Here is a 19,456-nt window from a genome sequence, read left to right as displayed (position 1 = left end):
TAGCCAGGCGTGGTGGCGCATGCCTGTAATCCCAGCTACTCAGAAGGCTGAGACAGAAGAATCACTTGAACCCAGGAGGTGGAGGTTGCAGAGAGCCGAGATCATGCCACTGCACTCCATCCTGGGTGACAGAATGAGACTCCGTCTCAAAAAAAAAAAAAAAAAAAGAGAGAGAGAAAAGAATTCCAACCCAGAATTCTCAACTTCACTGTGTCAGAACATATGAAGTAAACAAATATTCATCTCTACATTTGCCAGTCCCTGTGGACTTAGACCAGATAGTATAAATAATAGTCACAAAAGGAGTATGAATGGGATAAGAAGCCACTTCTAGTCTGAGACAATTAAGAGTAGTAGTGCCTTCTCTGCACTCTCACCGCCTCATTCTGACAGCTGGAGTGAAGGACTCCCAACTTCTGGAACTGCCCAATGAAAGTAGCCTTGTGTGAGTGTTAGCTGGCCTGCTTTGGTCTGGGATGCAAGTAGAAATAAACTCCTCTCATATTAAGCCACTAAGACTTTAGGGATATGTTGCTGTAGCATAGCCTAATGTAGCCTGATTACTGAACGAGCCACCCCATCAACTGAATCTATGTATATACTAAAAACATTTTAAGATATGCAAGGTCTCAAAGAGTTCACTCGATGCACACTTTTTCTCAGGAAGCTACTAGAGGATGTGCTCCACAAAAAATAAAGGTATAAATTGTGAAAGAGGAAAACATAGGATTTAGGAATCAAGGGAATTCAGCACAAGACAGAAGAAAAGGGAATCTGCAGCAAGATCCCTGAGCTGTGCATGTAACATAAAGGGCAACAATTTCCAACACAGAGCAGATCACAAGACCCTAGGATAGATTTCTTGAAGAAAATGAAATTAAAAGAATACTGGATTCATCTGAACATACGAAAAGGAGATTTAAGCAACTTTTTAAGAGCTTGGGAATGAATTAATGATAAATATATGGTATTATGCAACCAAAACTACAATAAAAACATTAAAAATTATAACTCATAAAATTATTAATTTCAGGGAAAATAAAAAGTTGAGTAGGAATGAAAAAAGAATCAGAGGATACTATAAAGCTTATCTGTGGATATTGTTTACATAGTCATGATAATGAAAAAGAAATAATCTAACCAAAATTAAACGTTGGAAGTGTGGGGAGATAGAAATGGTAGTGTATTCGCTATTTATGTGTTGGGGAGGATACCTGTAACTTTAACATTAGTGAGCTTTACTTTACTAAGGCTAAATAAACAAACTCAAGTGTCCAGAAAGGCTAGAGAAGGAGCTTATAAGAATGAAGCTATTGTGGTGTGATTCAATAGGGAATAGGTGGGGCCTTGGCAACATCAATTTGTAGTATCCCTGCCAATTGATACTACAACATCAATTTGTAGTATCCCTGCCAAAATTTAACTATGGAAAATAGTTAAATTTTAATATGCACACATCTGTGGTTGTGGTTATACAGATATATATATATATATATATATATATATATATAAAATAAAAATTTATATATAAATAAATACATAAACAAACTCAAGTGTCCAACAGGGCTAGATAAGGAGCTTACAAGAATGAAGCAGTTGTGATGTGATTCAATAGGGAATAGGTGGGGCCTTGGCAAACCAAAGAACATATTCTATCTAAAGTGGATGGCCACAACTTGCTCCAGCTGTGGAAACTTGGGCCATGTACTGCTAGATCTAAGGATTTTCTTTTGAGAGATGCTAGATATATACATTTTTTAAAAATAAAATTATCCTGATTTTAACAACATTGCCTTATTATATAAAACATACCTTGGAGGGTGTGGGTAAGACACAATGTCCTTGAAATTATATTTCACTGGGTTAATAAAATTGGCTCCGGAAGAAAATAATTTTAAACAGCAAACCAAAAAGTGAAGGCCTTCAAAACTAACAAACCAAAGGAAAACAAAACAAAATGACAACAAGAAAAAAACAAAGAAACAAAACCCCTGGACCTTACCATTTTTCTAAGGCATGTTGACATGATAAAATCAAAATTGCTTTGTGCTTATAAGGATCAAAGGTTATGCTTTTGACTTTATAAATTCAGAGAAAGAATTTAATTGGAATTATTTTTATGAATTAACTGAAGATCTAAGGCAACTGGATAATTTAGGTTCTGCTAGTATCTAGAATATTCAAAGTTTATGTTTAGTCTGACACTAAAGAATCCATTATTTCTCTTGACTTCCAGGCTGGTCAGTGTCTTTCCTGTGTCATATACCAAACAATGTGTTAGAAATTGTCTTCTCACTCATAAACTAATATTTGTTCAGAGTAAAAAGTCAAGCAAGTAAATAATGAGAAAAAATTCAGTGTATTGTATAAACAAAGACAGAAGGCAGACCAATGGTTACCTGGGGCCTAAGCTAAAGAGATTAATTGTACACAGTCACAAAGGAATTTTTTGGGATGGTGAAAGTGTTCTAAAACTGGATTGGGATGATTGTGGCACAACTGTATAAATGTTATTAAAACTCATTGAGTTGTACACTTAAATGAGTGGCTAAGTTGTGCCTTAATAAAGCTGTAATTTTGAAAAAGAATAATGGATGATCAACTGTGAGCTAGAGTATGATGAAAACACAAGACATTTACATAGCTTCAAAGTATCTCCCCATCAGGTACTTATTAACTGCATCAGGGAAACAGTAATTTTATTGTGGCAGAACCCTGCTGACAAAGTTAACATTCTAGTAAAAGCACAGGTGGATGTCATGTGCCTCCTGAAGTGATGCACAGAGAAGGATGCAACATCAACTTGTAGTATCCCTGCCAAAAATATATAACCTGAATTTAACCATGCTGAAACATAAGACAAATCCAAGTGAAGGAACATTCTACAAAACAACTGACCAGTACTCCTCAAGAGTGTCAAGGTCCTGGAAGACAAAGACTGAGCAATGCTTCTGATTAAAGTAGACTGAGAGGTGACAACTGAATGCAATGTGGGATTCTGGATTAGGTCTTGGCCCAGAAACAGGTCTTCGGTGGGACAACTGGCAAAATGTGAATAAGGTCTCTGGTTTTGTGAATGGTAGCGTATCGACACTCATTACCTGCTTTTGAACATGGTAGTGATAGTAAGATATCAACATTCAGGAAAGTACAGTGAAGGGTATATGGGAATCTCTACTATTTTTGTAACTTTTGTAAGTTGAAATTGTTTCAAAATGAGTTAGAAAATTAAAAGGAAGTTTTCTCTTTCAGCTGGGAAAACAGCAATGGATTAATAAGAAGAAATTAATGGTGAAGTGGTGACGAAAATTCTACATTGCTTAGAAAGCAAGTAAGAAAATCAGTGGTTGTAGAGAAGTTCTTACATGAAGTAATAAAAATAAAAATTGTTATGTTAAGCATTTTCTATTTTCTTTTCCTCCCCTCCAAATGAAACAGCATACTATTCTGCATGTTTTTCTACCTAACAATGTATCTTTTTAATGACTCTTGTATTTTAAACCTAAAATTTTGATTAAGCTTCACTTAATATTAAAAAAGATAGTATAGGTCACGATGTTATTTGATGCAAACGTTGGAAAGACAGAATCTTCTTGATCCAAGAGCTTTTAGAATTCAAAGTCTGATTCTGGTTATTACTCTGCTCATTTAAGATAGTGAAATGAACATTTACATTCTGGCAACCTCAGAAGTACAAAGAACAAAGGACACCAGCCAGGTAGGGCAAAGGCCTGTGCACCCCCTTTTGCTGTTACATGTTTATCAGATGCGTGCTCTGTTTCTGTTATATTACATTACTTTTCTCTTCAATGTTTACTGAGGAAGAACAAGTAGCTCCTCAGGCAAATCAACTGTTAACTTTGCTGTTTTTATTTAATCTCCCAGGAATGTAACCCTTAACTTTAAAGAATGTAGTGACCATAAAACTTATAAAGCATGTTTCTTAAGGAAATTGTACCTGTTTATTTAATCTATCAGATATGAATGTTATAGAAAATTTAATTTGTCCACTTAAGCTGTAGATGAACTTTTCACCTTTCTGATCAGAAATTCACCATCTTATAGTATAGGTTCTGTTATTAATCAGAATATTTCATTTAGACTCTTTCTATCCAACTTTTTCTTAGAGGCTATTCAAAATAAAGGTGCTTCTAACAGTTTCATATCGAAATACGATGCAAAGCCTTGCTCTTCCATGGTATCCTTTGAGTGAGCCAAACTTATTTAGCCATTCCCCTATAGTTAAATAGCTAGGATGTTTCCAACATCTCACCTTTAAAACAATAGTGCTATGAATGTCATAAATGTTTGTATATGTAAATATGTGGGATAAATCCCTATCAGTAGAATTTCAAAAGGTATACGCAATCAGTATTTTCATACATATTTAAAATTTTCCATCCATACAAAGGTTGCTAACATATTTATTTAAAATTTTAAAAATAATTTTATATGCCTCTTGTAACCAGTAATAGGATGCAAAGTTTTTTTTTAAGGTAACATTGCTCCTCTTCCCCCATTGTCTCTGTCATCTACAGTACTCCCTGAGGTAGTTCATGTTATTGCAAGGGTGTGTATCATCACAAACATATTGCTTCCACATACATATATCAGCATACATATATATATATATATGTATAGCATATATATATATGAGCACATATTAATATATGCCCATGCACATACAAGCATGTTTTTGTTAATTTTTACTGAAATGGAATCATACTACATACTTATGAACAAATTGCTTCTTTCACCTTATATCACTTATAATTGTTATTCTACAAATCAGTACATATAAAAAATACATATTTACATATGTAATACTCTATCTTTCTGTTATAATTTTCTGCATGCACATGTATGCATATACATATATTCATAAACATAAAACTTAATCTAAACGGGATTTTTTTTTGGGGGGGTGATATGGTTTGGCTGTGTCCCCACCCAAATCTCATCTTGAATTCCCATGTGTTGTGGGGGGACCCGGTGGGAGGTAATTGAATTATGGGGGCAGGTCTTTCCTGTGCTGTTCTCGGGATAGTGAAAAAGTCTCACAAGATCTGATGGTTTTAAAAAGGTGAGTTTCCCTGCATAATCTCTCTTCTCCTGTCTGGTTCCATGTGAGATGTGCCTTTTGCCTTCCGCCATGATTGTGAGGCCTCCCCAGCCATGTGGAACCGTAAGTCCAATAAACCTCTTTCTTTTGCAAATTGCCCAGTCTCAGGTATGTCTTTATCAGCAGCATAAAAATGAAACAATACAGTAAATTGGTACAAGTAGAGTGGGGCGCTGCTGAAAAGATACCTGAAAATGTGGAAGAAACTTTGGAACTGGGCAACAAGCAGAGGTTGGAACAGTTTTGAGGGCTCAGAAGACAGGAATATGTGGGAAAGTTTGGAGCTTCCTAGAGACCTGTTGAATGACTTTGCCCAAAATGCTGATAGTGATATGGACAATAAAGTCCAGGCTGAGGTGGTCTTAGATGGAAACAAGAAACTTGTTGGGAACTGGAGCAATGGTGACTCTTCTTATGTTTTAGTAAAGATACTAGGGGCATTTTGCCCCTGCCATAGATATATGTGAAACTTTTAACTTGAGAGAGATGATTTAGGGTACCTGGCAGAAGAAATTTCTAAGCAGCAAAGCATTCAAGAGGTGACTTGGCTGCTGTTAAAGGTATTCAGTTTTATAAGGGAAGCAGAGCACAAAAGTTTGGAAAATTTGCAGCTTGACAATGTGCTAGAAAAGAAAATCCCATTTTCTAAGGAGAAATTCAAGCTGGCTGCAGAAATTTGCATAAGTAACAAGGAGCTGAATGTTAATCCCCAAGACAATGGGGAAAGTGTCTCCAGGGCATGTCAGAGTTCTTCATGGCAACCCCTCCCATCACAGGCCCAGAGGTTTAGGAGGAAAAAGTGGTTTTGTGGGCTAGGCCCAGGGTCCCTCTGCTGTATGCAGTCTAGGGACTTCATACCCTGCATCCCAGCCATGAATGAAAGGAGCCAAAGTACAGCTCTGTCTGTTGCTTCAGAGGGTGCAAGCCCCAAGCCTTGGCAGCTTCCACATGGCTTTGAGCCTGCGGGTGCACAGAAGTCAAGAATTGAGGTTTGGGAAACTCTGCCTAGATATCAGAAGATGTAGAAGTTTGCTGTAGGGGTGGGTCCCTCATGGAGAACCTCTGCTAGGGCAGTGTGAAAGGGAAATGTGAGATTGGAGCCCCCAAACAGAGTCCCTACTGGGGCACCATCTAGTGGAGCAGTGAGAAGAGGGCCACTGTTCTTTAGACCCTGGAATGGTAGATCCATGGACGGCTTGCACTGTGCACCTAGAAAAGCCACAGACACTCAATGCCAGCCTGTGAAAGCAACCTGGAGAGAGGCTGTACCCTGCAAAACCTCAGGGGCAGAGCTGCCCAAGACCATAGGAACCAACCCCTTGCATCAGCATGACCTGGATGTGAGACATGGAGGCAAAGGAGATCATTTTGGAGCTTTAAGATTTGACTGTCCCACTGGATTTCAGACTTTCATGGGGCCTGTATCCCCTTTGTTTTGGCCAATTTCTCCCATTTGGGATGGCTGTATTTACCAATGCTGTACCCCCATTATATCTAGGAAGTAACTAACTCGCTTTTGATTTTACAGGCCCATAGGTGGAAGGGACTTGCCTTGTCTCAGATGAGACTTTGGACTTCGGACTGTGGACTTTTGAGTTAACACTGAAATGAATTAATGCTGAAATGAATTAAGACTTTGGGAGACGGTTGAGAAGCCATGACTCATTTTAAAATGTGAGAACATGAGATTTGGGAGGGGCTGGGGTGGAATGGTATGGTTTGGCTGTGTCCCCACCCAAATCTCATCTTGGATTCCCATGTATTGTGGGAGGGACCCGGTGGGAGGTAACTGAATCATGGGGGCAGGCCTTTCTCATGCTGTTTTTGTGATAGTGAACAAGTCTCATGAGATCTGATGGTTTTGAAAAGGGGAGTTTCCCTGCACAAGCTCTCTTCTCTTGTCTGCTTCCAGGTGAGACATGCCTTTCACCTTCTGCCATGATTGTGAGGCCTCTCCAGCCATGTGGAACTGTAAGTCCAATAAACCTCTTTCTTTTGCAAATTGCCCAGCAATGTGAAAACAGACTAATACAGTGGGAGATTACTTCTCCATACCCTCTTTGTCTGCCAACCATATCACCTCTGCTGTTTCCTCTCCCCAAAAGGTAACCCATGTTAACCTCTGATTATGATCAAATAATTATATGTATTTATTTATATAAATACCATTTCTTTATATATTTTGAACATATTAATGCATACACAAGTGTGCTAAAATTTATATTTCTACTGCTGTCACCATCTGTAGCTTGTATGATTTACAGAATTTCATGAACAAAAATACATGAAGTAAAAGGAACCATTATGATGTAAAAGCATATAGATTAATAATATTCTGCTTACTAACAGTTTCTTTTTTCTTTTTTTTTCCTTTGGAGATGGAGTTTCTCTGTTATTGCCCAGGCTGGAATGCAATGGCATGATCTTGGCTCACTGCAACCTCCATCTCCTAGGTTCAAGCGATTCTCCTGCCTCAGCCTCCCGAGTAGCTGGGATTACAGGAGTGTGCTATCACACTCGGCAGATTTTTGTATTATTAGTAGGGACACGGTTTCACCATGTCGGTCAGGCTGTTCTCAAACTCCTGACCTCAGGTGATCCACCTGTCTTGGTCTCCCAAAGTGCTGGGATTACAGATGTGAGCCACCGTACCCGGCCTACCAGTGGTATTACCCAGGGATATGAATAGCTAAGCTATACTTTAGGCACAAACCAGCACTATTATCAAGATGCAATATGTGAACTCATCTTTCTTCTAGCATCAGTTCAGAATTAATTTTAATCTGTGTATTGTATACTGCTGCCAAAAACTCATTAACCACAATTAAATTATGAAAGTACATGTGTAAATTTATGGATAGCAATACACAATCCAAAATATGAGTTTGCTATAAAAATAAAGCATATGGGTAGAATCATATTAATTATAAGTAACCAGAACTGTTAATAAGAAATTAATATTAAAATATATTGAATTTGATATTTCCATAACTGAAGTAAACTAATTTAATAAGCGAAGCTAACCAGTCTAAAATATCAAAGGAGAATAAGAATAAAGTTTATTATTAAACATACAAGCTATGGCTAATCAACATACTTTCTTATATTTCTTGATAATATGTTGAATTTACTTTCGAGCATGTTTTGAAGAGGTAGTTAGTCAATCTTTATGTCCCTTTTGAAGATATGATGAAATAGTTACATCTCTATTATGGAATAACATGAAGTGGTTTAAAAAATGAGTGATGTATGATCTGGCATGGTGGCTCACACCTGTAATCCCAGCACTTTGGGAGGCCGAGGCAGGTGGATTATCTGATGTCAGGAGTTCAAGACCAGCCTGGCCAATGTGGTGAAACCCCATCTGTACTAAAAATACAAAAATTAGCCAGGCGTTGTGGCGGGTGCCTGTAATCCCAGCTACTTGGGAGGCTGAGGCAAGAGAATTGCCTGAACCTTGGAGGCAGAGGTTGCAGTGAGCCAAGACTGCACCATTGTACTCCAGCCTGGACACCATGAGCAAAACTTTGTCTCAAAAAAAAAAAAAAATGATGAATGATGTATTTCTAATTCTAGTGAGAAGGAAAGAGTATCAGTGCATATTGTCAAGTGAAGAAAGCAAGCTCCAGAACAAAGCCTATGTATGTTCCTATTTATTAAAAACAAAAGCCACATATGTATACAAATGTACTCTATCTTTCTGTTATAATTTTATGAATGCACATGTATGCAAATACATATATTCATATACATAAGACTTAGTCTAAACAGGAATATTCTTTCAGGAGGGAATCTTGCTTCTCCTACAGAAAAATACCTAACATGGCAGGGGCAAAGGTAATATTGGACCAAAAAAATCTGGACCTACGTCTATTAAATTGCTCACAGTGTTTATATAATATCGGTGAAGGGAAGTAAAATTGAGGTTAGTGAAAGATACTCCACGTTTTACCCTAATACTTTTCTACTGTTTGAATTTTTTATAGTTATAATACATTCAGGTATAATACAAAATTTATATATAAATACTATATATATACACATACACACACATATATATATATGTGTGTGTATATATATTTTAATAAGAAACAAGGTCTTTCTCTCTCACCCAGGCTGGAGTGCAGTGCAGTGATCATAGCTCACTGTAACCTCAAACTCCTAGGCTTGCGTGATCCTCCCACCTCAGCCTCCTGAGTAGCTGGGACTACTGGTGCATGCCACCATGCCCAGCTAAGTTTTAAAATTTTTGTAGAAACAGGGTCTTGCTATGTTGCCCAGGTTGACCTTGAACTCCTGGCCTCAAGAGATCCTTTCCCCTCAGCCTCCCAAAGTGCTTGTATTACAGGCATGAGCCACTGTGCACAGCCTACTTATATTATTTAAAAAACAATTAATCAAATAAGTTGGTTAGGATTAGTTTCAGTGGCATAAACAGAAACTTAAACAATGTGAAAGCTTATTTCTGTCTCCTTCTGCCAGGTGAACACACATTGTTCATCCCCTCAGGAGGACACAGCTTTTGAGATACCATCTTGGAAGCAGAGACCAGCCCTCACTAGACACAAACTTCCTGGCACCTTGATTTTGGACTTCATAGCCTCTAGAACTGTGAGAAATAAATTTTTATTATTTATAAATTACCCTGTATTGGATATTTTGTTATAGCAGCACAAAAGGTCTAAGACAATGACTGAAGGACGGAGCTATAGGACTCAAAAGACCCTGGTCTTGAAGCCAGAAAGACCTGGCTTTGCCAGTAGCATGGTATTTCAATTAAGTATGATTAAACACTCTTCGAGGGAATAGAAAGGGGAAGGAAGAATGGAGATGGATCATTTGTTTCATGCCTTTTACTTACGTGTAAGGAATTATGAGCAGGTGCCTATGGATTTTGGAATATGCTTCTCTAACACTATAAAAATTAGAAAGTGAAACTTGTAGCCACAAATGTCCATTTAAAATTTCTAATGACAATGGAAGAAATTATTTAGACTCTCTCCTAAACTATTACACCATACATCATTGCAAAACATTTTTTTTCATTTTGCCCAACCTCCACTCCTGTCATTCCACCACTCCTATAGTATCTAAAATATAGTTTCTTTTAGAGAGATTGGTGCACCACTCAACTTGTCAGCTTGAGGGCTTTGAATGGTGTTTTCTTTTTTTTTTTTTAATTTCATGGCAAGCTGACTTACAAGTGACTCAACTGTAAGCTAAGACTTATTAATAGCATGGTTTAACCACCAAAGATAATGAATTCAAACAATGTTACTTACAGCCTTTAATGTCACAGCCCCTAAAAACATTGAAATGTACATTTTTCACCTGCTAGTCATCTTCAATATTCTGGAGAGGAAATATTCTTTCCTGTCCTTACAGTGGTTGTATATCTTAAAAGACGACTATATGACACTTGAATATTGATATTCAACCTTAACCAAAGCAGTCACAAGAATACAAGCCATTGACCTCTGGCCTTTTAGATATGTTCCCAACAAGTTCATGTGTACCCAATGAAAAATGTTAAATAAACTGATAAACTTTAAACATTTAAAAATATTTTATTTATTTACTTGCCACAGCTAGATAAGAGGAACTGGGTTAATTTTGAAACTCTCAGCTTCCTTTCCTCTAAACCAGTAGCTATTGCTGGCCACTAGTATGTTGTTTCCTTTGCAGGAAGTTGCAAAAATGAGAAAGAAAAAAACGAAAAACAAAACCAAGTTGGTATTATTTTTAGCTTTCTTCTTATTTGGATATAGCTACAGTTCTTTTTCTTATGGTGATTAACATAACTATTCAAGAGAGAAGAACCAAGCAAAGGGGAGTAGTAGGGAATTAGTAGGGAATTGTGCCAAAGGACATATGGCAAGGTTATTGTCAGAAAGCTGAGCTGCTGAAATCCAGACAGTTTAAGAGCTTATCTGCTCTGCTCTGCTCCCACCTAGGAGGACTCCTACTACAATGCAAAGACTCAAGTTTCACCTTAATTAGGTCTTTCCCAGGCCAGGTATTAGTGACCTTGGGAAAAAAGTTTAAGCTTCTCAGCTTCAGATCTTCCTCTGAATATTAGCACTGTGGTAATTGGCACAGTGGTACCTAACCCTTTGAGGGTCCAGGATTGTTTTAATGGTGAGTGATTTACAAACTGAGTTTAAAAGAGCAAGGAGGATCCAATTTCTCAAAATTTCATTAACTCTGCTTAAGAAAACAGTATATTATATTAGCTTAGATCAGGAGTTGGGAATCTATAGCCTGCTACCATTTATTGTGTAGCCTGCAAATGGTTTTTACATTTTTAATACATTGGAAAAAAAATTAAAGAAGATTATTATTTCGTGATGTGAAAATTATACATGTTGAAAGGAAAACTTTAGAGTTTAATTGAGTAAAGAATGATCTGTGAATTAGGCAGCCCCCAGAACCAGAGTAGGGTTGGTTACAGCTGAGCATTTGCCTTATTTGAACCTGGTTTGAAGAGTTGGCTGCCTGTGGTTGGCTGAAGTTCAGCTGCTGTGATTGGCTGAGACTCACTACTTGTTACAAGAGTAGGTTACATATCAAGTTTTACATATCAAGTTGAAATATAGTTTTTTATGTACTGGGAAACCTTTAGGGTAAACTTAAAATATGTAAGGAGGCAGCTTTAGGCCACAATGAATTTAACAATTCCTCCTTTTGGTCAACCTGTCAATTTTGAGAGGATGATTAATTTTGAGGTTGCCCAAAACTTTAGGCATTGACATCACTTTTTATCATCATAAATAGAGTTATTTGGTCTCTAATCCCATTGGAAAATAGCAGAACACTGGATTTTGTAAGGTGGGAACAAGGAAACAGTATAGAAAAAAAAACTGATTGGTTAACATCAGATTACTTTTTTATTTTTTTGTCACCCAGGATGGAGTGCAGTGGCACAATCTTGGCTCACTGCAACCTCACCTTTCGGGTTCAAGCAATTCTTCTGCCTCAACCTCCCAAGTAGCTGGGACTACAGGCGTGTGCCACCACACCCAGCTAATTTTTGTATTTTTAGTATAGATGGGGTTTTGCCACGTTGGCCAAGCTGATCTCAAGCTCCTGACCTCAGGTGATCCACCCGCCCTGGCTTTCCAAAGCGCTGGGATTACAGGCATGAGCCACTGTGTCTGGCTGAGATTGCTTTTTTGTAAGTAATCTGTTGTTACTTTGGGTTACTTTTCTGTAAGGGATAGAGCAGAGGGGACTTCCTTATTATACTGGAATCTTCTGTCTTCAGGAGAAGAAAAAAAAAACTCGTCTATTTTGGGACCTGTTTTTTAAAGTTTTAGTTTGATTTTGTGGTGCTTAGCATGAGCGACTCCATTTTGGTTTGGTCTGGTCTGCTTGGGATTAGTGCAGGAGCTCAGTCCAAAACAATGGCCTCTCATAATTTTGTTTAATACATGAAATTCAAATTTCAAACTTGTAGACATTTGCTCTCTCTCTTATTATATAAGTACCTACACAATGTCCTCAAATTTGCTTTTTGATCTGTAAAGACTAAGATATTTATCATCTAGTTTTACAGAAGAGTTTGCAGATCTTCTGGTTTAAAAGAGCAGGAGATTTAGTGTCAGGCAGGTTTGGATTGAGCCCAAGGGCTGCCATTTACTGATTGTATGACTTTGAGCAAGGTATTTATCTTTTCTAAGCCTCAATTTCCTCATCTATAAAATGGGCACACAAATAGTATTTACCTTGGAGAGTTAAATGGGATAATGCATTTAATGTGCTTAACACAGTGCCTATCAGATGCTTAGGGGCTCAAAACATTACTATTGTTGTTGTTGTTGTTGTTTTACCCTAAAGTAAATGAGACAAAATAGCAAAGCTAAATGAGGAGGAATTTTTAAGTTACATCAGAAACTGCAATAGATTCTAAAATATTATAATTAAGAAATTTCATACTTATTTAAAAAGGCATTTTCAATTTAACAATTTAACAATTTAACCCTCTTATAAGTTAAAAAAAAAAAAAAAGCCCGGCACAGTGGCTCACGCCTGTAATCCCAGCTCTTTAGGAGGCTGAGGTGGATGGATCAGGAGGTCAGGAGTTCAAGACCAGCCTGGCTAACGTGGTGAAACCTCGTCTCTACTAAAAATACAAAAATTAGCTGGGCGTGGTGGTGCATACCTGTAATCCCAGCTACTCAGGAAGCTGAGGCAGGAGAATCGCTTGAACCCGGAGACAGAGGTTGCAGTGAGCCAAGATCGTGCCACTGCACTCCAGCCTCGGCAACAGAGCAAGACTCCATCTCAAAAAGAAAAAAGAAATAAAAATAAAAAGTCAAGCCCAGCTATTTTGGGAGAACTGAAATTACAACTCTATCTGAGAAAATAAAATGACAGGACTCCACAGAATCCATAGATAAAAATTTAACTGAAGAGGAATATGGAACAGACTAAAGGAAAAATTTTATCAAGCTGTAATCTTTATACTTGTGCCTAAGGCCAGAACTTGAAACTGCTGAAGACAGTGTTTCTCTACAAATGCACACAGGCACCCCATTTTGATGCACAGATAGGTGTTTATTTCTTTTAAGAATAGCAGCTTTATTGAGATAAATTTCACATATGATACAATTCACCAATTTAAAGTGTACAAGTCAATGGTTTTCAGTATAATCAGAGTTGTACTACCATCACCATAATCAATTTTAGAACATTTTCATCACCGCCCAAAAACCACTGTAGTCTCTCCCCAGTCCTCTACTCCTGGGAACCATTAATGTACTTTCTGTCTCTATAGATTTGCCTATTTTGGTTATTTTATATAAATGGAATCATACAACATGTGGTCTTTTGTGAATAGCTTTTTTCACTTACCATAATGTTTTCAAGATTGATTCATTTTGTAGCAGGTATCAGTCCTTTTTCCTGTTTATTGCCAAATAATTTTCCATTGTACGGATAGATCATATTTTGTTTATCCATTTGTCACATTTTGGTTGTCTATCAGTTGATAGATATTTGTGGTGCATTTAATTTTTGGCCAATGTGTAAAACTTATTTTGCTCTCATTGAGGCTACATACTGTTACAACAATGCTATTTGGTCAACTTGACTGAGCTGGCCTCATAGGTTACAGGTTGTTCATTGTTAGAGATGAGACTTTAGACCAGACTGGACAACATAGTGAGACCCTGTCTCTACCAAAAAGAAAAAGAAAAATTAGCCAGATGTAATGGCATATGACTGGAGTCCCAGCTACTTGGGAGGCTGAGATGGGAGGATCACTTGAGCCCAGGAGTTTAGGACTGCAGTGAGCTGTGATCGTGCCAATGCAATCCATGCTGGGCGACAGAGTGAGACCCTGTCTCAAAAAACAGAAAGAGGGATTTTAGTATAACATTCAGCCAGTGCCATATTGGGAACCCACAAGAATGTACTTTTAAAAATATGTCAAAGAAGATGGTGAGGGCTGTAATAGCTGCTATTCAGGCAGTAATGCAGTGCTGAAGGGACATCAAGCAAATAGTGTGATGCCTGTGGGTGCAATGTTACTCCTTCCCTTAGGTTGCCAAAAAAATCAATACTTCATAGCATTCCTGAAACGAAAAAGCTTATGAACCATTGTGTTTAGGGCGTAAGCTATCTATTTTGGGCTACCCATCACAGCTTCTCTCCTTTGGCAGAATACAGTGAACTGAACCACCACGCCTAAGGTATTTGCCTTATTTCTTCCTCAGCTGGTTCATGGTTACATTGTCAAAGCTGGCAAAACATTCAAGACCTGATTTCTCAGACCGAGTGTATGTGTGAATATAATATACTCATTTGCACAAATATAAACCCTCTGTCTTAACTGTGTTCTGCAAAAGGCGTGATAAATACTTTAAAGTTATATGTACTTATCAGTAGAACTAATGGAATACACACAGTATATTTTATGGGGAATTTCAGAGAAGGAAGGAAAAGTCAACCTTTTATTTGGCATCAGGATAGTAGTAAAACATTCTACTTGTGCATCAGATAGATTTTTATGACCTAACCTGGACAAGTAACTTAACTCTTGGTGCCTCATGTTTGAAAGAGGGATAACACTCTACAGGGTCATTCTAAGAATTACATATTGCCAAAACACATGAAAAGATTCTCAACCTTGTTAGTAATCAAGGAAATGCAAATGAAGATCACAATGAAGTCTTCTTTTGTACTCAATTGATTGGTGAAAAATGCATGCCTGATAATATTGACATACAGACCAATGAGATCTCTTATAATTTGCTGGGAAAATGTATCAATTTGTACAAACATTTTGAAAAATAATTGTGCATTTTCTTGTGAAGTAAAACATTTGAATAATCTAGGACCCAGCAATTCAACTCTTACACAGACACTCAAGAGGAAGTTGCACACACATATGTCAGGAAAAATGTTCATAGCAGCCCTGTTCATAAGAGCAAAACCTGGAACAATTGAGAGGAAATGAATAAATTGCCGTGTAGCCACACAATAGAATACAAGACAGCAGTGATGCTGAAAAATATAGCAAGCCTCAGGAGTTTATATATTATATGGATAATTTTATGAAGCTCAAAAACACCCAAAATTAAACAACATATTCTCTAAGTACATACGTGGGATATGTGATAAAACTAAAAAGAAAACAGGGAATGATCAGCAATCCAGAACCAATTCATGACTGTTGTTACTATCTTATGGGGCAGGCTGTGGATTGGAAGCGGGGGCGGTGCACATAGGTACGTGTAGCTTACTGGTAATGCTTTTATGTTAGGAATGAGGTCAAAGGAGTTCACTATAAATTTATATTAGAAAGAAGGGCTATCTATGGATTAGTGATGAGAGTGTCATGCACCAGCAAATATGATTAATGAACTTAGGTTACCTGAGGTCCAAATAAATAATGAGAAAAAAGTAAATAAAAGTGATGCATGAATACTAAAAATTTGGAATTACATATATAATATGTAATAATAAAAAAAGAAAAAATTGTCACTGGTTATCCTTCAGGTATAAAAATTACAATTAAAATTGTAATGTTATAACCTTCCATTCTTTCCCCTATGAATTAAAACTTTTTTTTTTAACGAGACTAAAAAATCAAGTTGATAAAATCTATGCCCTGTGGGAACTGGTTAGGTCAGGCTACCCACTCCAGATTTCCAGCAGGCTGGCCTCAGCTCTACCTACAGCCAGTAGCTTATTAAGGCTCTAGGCGCCAGTGACACCTTCAGACAGGTGGTTAGTGCGCCCTAAGGACTCTCCGCAGCGTCGCTCAGGTTCACAGAACACGCCCAGGGGCGTGTCCAGCTGTCGTCGGGGAGAGCCCACCTCCCCGGGGGGTGTGGCTAAGGGACGAGGCAGTTCTCGTCCAGAGCCCAGGTAATCCGGGCGGGATCAGCTAGCGTCGCGATGTGATGACGTCAGGCCCCGGCCAGGCCGGGAGTGGCGTGCTGGGCGTGCGCGGCTGCGGTACGGCGTGTTGGTCCCAGCGGTTCAGCTGAGGTAGGGACGTGCTGTAGGCCGGAATGTTACCGGCTGTTGGATCTGTGGATGAGGAAGAGGATCCTGCGGAGGAGGATTGTCCTGAATTGGTTCCCATTGAGACGACGCAAAGCGAGGAGGAGGAAAAGTCTGGCCTCGGCGCCAAGATCCCAGTCACAATTATCACCGGGTATTTAGGTAACTAACCATCCCAGTCACAAAATGCCGTGAACTCTGGTGTCATGGGATTTTGCGGGCTGCCGGTGCCTCTTCTCCTGAGGCATTGGGGCCTCATGATCAAGAGCAAATGTCTTTGAGGTAGGGGCTGGGTCACTTGCTTCTCGTATGGGTTACCTCTCATCTTGGGAGTTAATGATGCCCGGTCCCCTCTGCGTTAGATTCCCATTTCTCAAGTGAGATGGAAAGTTAGCCTTTGAAACAAGGCTTTGAAGCTAAGACACGCCCCCCTAATTGTCTCTGTGACCTCTTACCAAGTTATCTTACCTTCCTGACGCTCATCTACCTCACCTGAAAATGGAAAAATACCTGTCACCTGTGAAATAGGGCCGGAACAACCTACCTATTGCCATTAAAGGATGTCCCGTCTGTAAAATGCCCGACACGTGGGGCTTTCGTCAGCAGATTCCCCTTCCCCAGGAGCCAAAGTCCTCCAGCCAGTTGGCAGGAAGTGCTCCTATCTTAAACACTTTTCTTTTGAGGTCTGTTTGTAAACCACTGCGTAGGAAGTAAGAATAAAATCTCTGTCCTCCAAGACTATTTCTCAAACTAAGAACGTTTAGAGTGTACAGGGATACTCGAAACCACAAGTTTGTGAACTTGGTAGTTTCGTGAAGGGCGGTTTATGCACTTACACTAGAAGTTTCTTACTGGAAAAGTTTGAGAAATATATTTTTAAACCTTACAGTTAAATAGAAGGGCTAGAACAAATATATGACTGTATTAGAAGTTTGGAAAAAGTTAAGAAATGTAAATAAAATAATACTGTTTCCGGGAAATAATATTCCTAGTTGTTGCTAGAGACAGGTACAGACTTGGGCCACTTCGTGACCTTTTATGTAAAAATAAGAAATAACTGCTTTTGTTTTTTTAAAAACTTTGTAGACTGTAAGTTTATTCCCGTTTTTTGCTCGGAAGTAATTTTATAAAGGAATTTATTTTTGGCGTTTCCCCACAGTTATTCAGAGGCTGCTCTACTGAGAAGATGAACAAATTTCTTGTCCAAAACAATGTATTTCAAACGTGCCCCTCGGGCCTTTCCCGTGTTGCTCACTGGTAGGTCAGTAGATCATTGGAGAAAATGATCTGAAGCTCAGGAGTGAGAATTAATACCAGCAACCTTGTTGCTGAATCTAGGGATAGTTTCACTCCTATCCCTGACCATTTTCCCTTTTTGAAACACTGTTCCTTTGGCTTCTATTACATTTTTCTTCTGATTTTTCCACCTGCTTCTCTGGCTTCTTTTTAAGGCTCCCTCCTCCTTCCCCCTTTGTCCATCTTTAGCTACACACCTGTGTAATTTCTATTTTGATGTCCTACAACTTAAAACTTAACATGTCTGAAACTTCGTCTGTTACCATCCCCCCAAATCCTGCTTCTGTGATCCCAACCATTTGGAATACTCTAAAAGCCTCCTGACTAATCTGGAGTCTTGCTGCCCTTTAATTTATTAGTTGCATGTTAGCCTTAATGATCTTTATAAATGTCAATCTGACTGCGTCACACCTTTCAGTGGCGTCCCTATGGGTTAAAATTCAAATTCCTTAACATGAATTACAAGGACCTGTAGGATCTGGATCTTGCCAACCTTTCCAGCCTGCCAAATTGGCCCCGCACAATAAACTAAGGTTACTTCAAAGGTGCCAAGTGTTTTAGCCCCTTGGAATAGGTACTTTTTTACTGTGACTCCTCTGGCTAGATGTCCCTCTTAGGTTCTCCATAGCATTTTGTGCATCTCCTATTGAATATGTCACCCTGTGACATAATTGCCTCCTTATTCACTGAATTCCCCTCCATTCCCCCCTTCCCTTAATATTTCTAAGCTCTATGAAGGCAGAGACTATCTTGTTCACTTTTTCACCAAGGCCCAGCATAAATCTGTAACGTATTAGAAACCTTTGAATGAATGAACTATGTCTTAAAGTGTTTTTTTTTTCATAATATGGTTAAAAAGCCCTAGTAAATCTTCTCTTAGAAGATTTCTTACATTCACCCTTTCCTTTCAGTTTTCACATCACTGCCCTGCGAAACACTCATGTTCAGGGCCTCTGTCTCAGGCTTGGACTGGTTTTAAGATCTTCCTCATTGCCCTAAGTCTCTCTCTTCCATACTATACTTCATATTTTTGTGATGTTGAGCTTCCTAAAGTACTCTAAATATAAGCCTTCATCTCTTAAAAAGCTTTGAAAGGAATATGACCTAAAAGATATTAATACCCTAATACTCCGTAAAATCTTCCTAGTTGTAGGAAGATCTAGTTATATACTAGAAAACTTTATTTCAGAAGACATGTATAGCCTACATGTAAAAGTTTTTAGCAGCACTGTAATAGTAAAACACTGGAAACAAACCAAATGTCCAACAAAAAAAAGATAAAGAAATGATATAGTCATACAATTGAACTACAATACTATGCAGTTAGGATTTTCTTTTTTTCCTCTATGAATTTTAGTGTGTACGGTTCACAAGACTTTTTTTTCTACTGGAGATTGACATATTGGGTTTCATATGCCACCTGCTGGATAAAGTTGGTATAGCTTTATGAATTTATCTTAACTGAACATTCTGTTCATTGTTGACACTACCTGGCTCTATTCCCCATTTCATAAAAACTTTTATAGA

At 38.3% G+C, this 19,456-nt stretch overlaps 1 protein-coding gene across 23 annotated transcripts in view, besides 2 other annotated features; it reads left to right on the top strand.

Annotated features, from left to right (window-relative positions):
• Positions 1-164: 164 nt before the first annotated feature.
• Positions 165-19,456, top strand: part of ZNG1F (Zn regulated GTPase metalloprotein activator 1F) — a 74,427-nt gene continuing 55,135 nt past the window's right edge. For 21 of the 23 annotated variants that reach the window (NR_170339.1, XR_001746362.2, XR_001746359.2 and 18 more), the window contains exon 1: positions 16,583-16,795. Coding sequence is in view for 16 of the 23 variants with exons in the window: in XM_047423720.1 (XP_047279676.1) it covers positions 16,642-16,795 (154 nt within the window). In the remaining 7 variants the exon portion in view is untranslated. Of the gene's footprint in view, positions 7,094-8,670; positions 9,734-16,582; positions 16,796-19,456 lie in introns of those variants that run through there. The other 2 variants (XM_017015028.2, XM_047423722.1) reach the window with 2 other exon arrangements.
• Positions 16,327-16,898: an enhancer, noted in NCBI's record as "H3K27ac hESC enhancer chr9:69262231-69262802 (GRCh37/hg19 assembly coordinates)". NCBI's record gives its function as "activates a minimal SCP1, AML or CMV promoter by ChIP-STARR-seq in primed H9 embryonic stem cells {active_cell/tissue: H9 hESC(primed)}" and the evidence as "EXISTENCE:reporter gene assay evidence [ECO:0000049][PMID:30033119]".
• Positions 16,899-17,472: an enhancer, noted in NCBI's record as "H3K27ac hESC enhancer chr9:69261657-69262230 (GRCh37/hg19 assembly coordinates)". NCBI's record gives its function as "activates a minimal SCP1, AML or CMV promoter by ChIP-STARR-seq in primed H9 embryonic stem cells {active_cell/tissue: H9 hESC(primed)}" and the evidence as "EXISTENCE:reporter gene assay evidence [ECO:0000049][PMID:30033119]".

Source organism: Homo sapiens, chromosome 9 (genome assembly GCF_000001405.40).
Source record: "Homo sapiens chromosome 9, GRCh38.p14 Primary Assembly".
Taxonomy (NCBI): Eukaryota; Metazoa; Chordata; class Mammalia; order Primates; family Hominidae; genus Homo; species Homo sapiens.
This window is presented reverse-complemented; position numbering and strand designations above follow the sequence as displayed.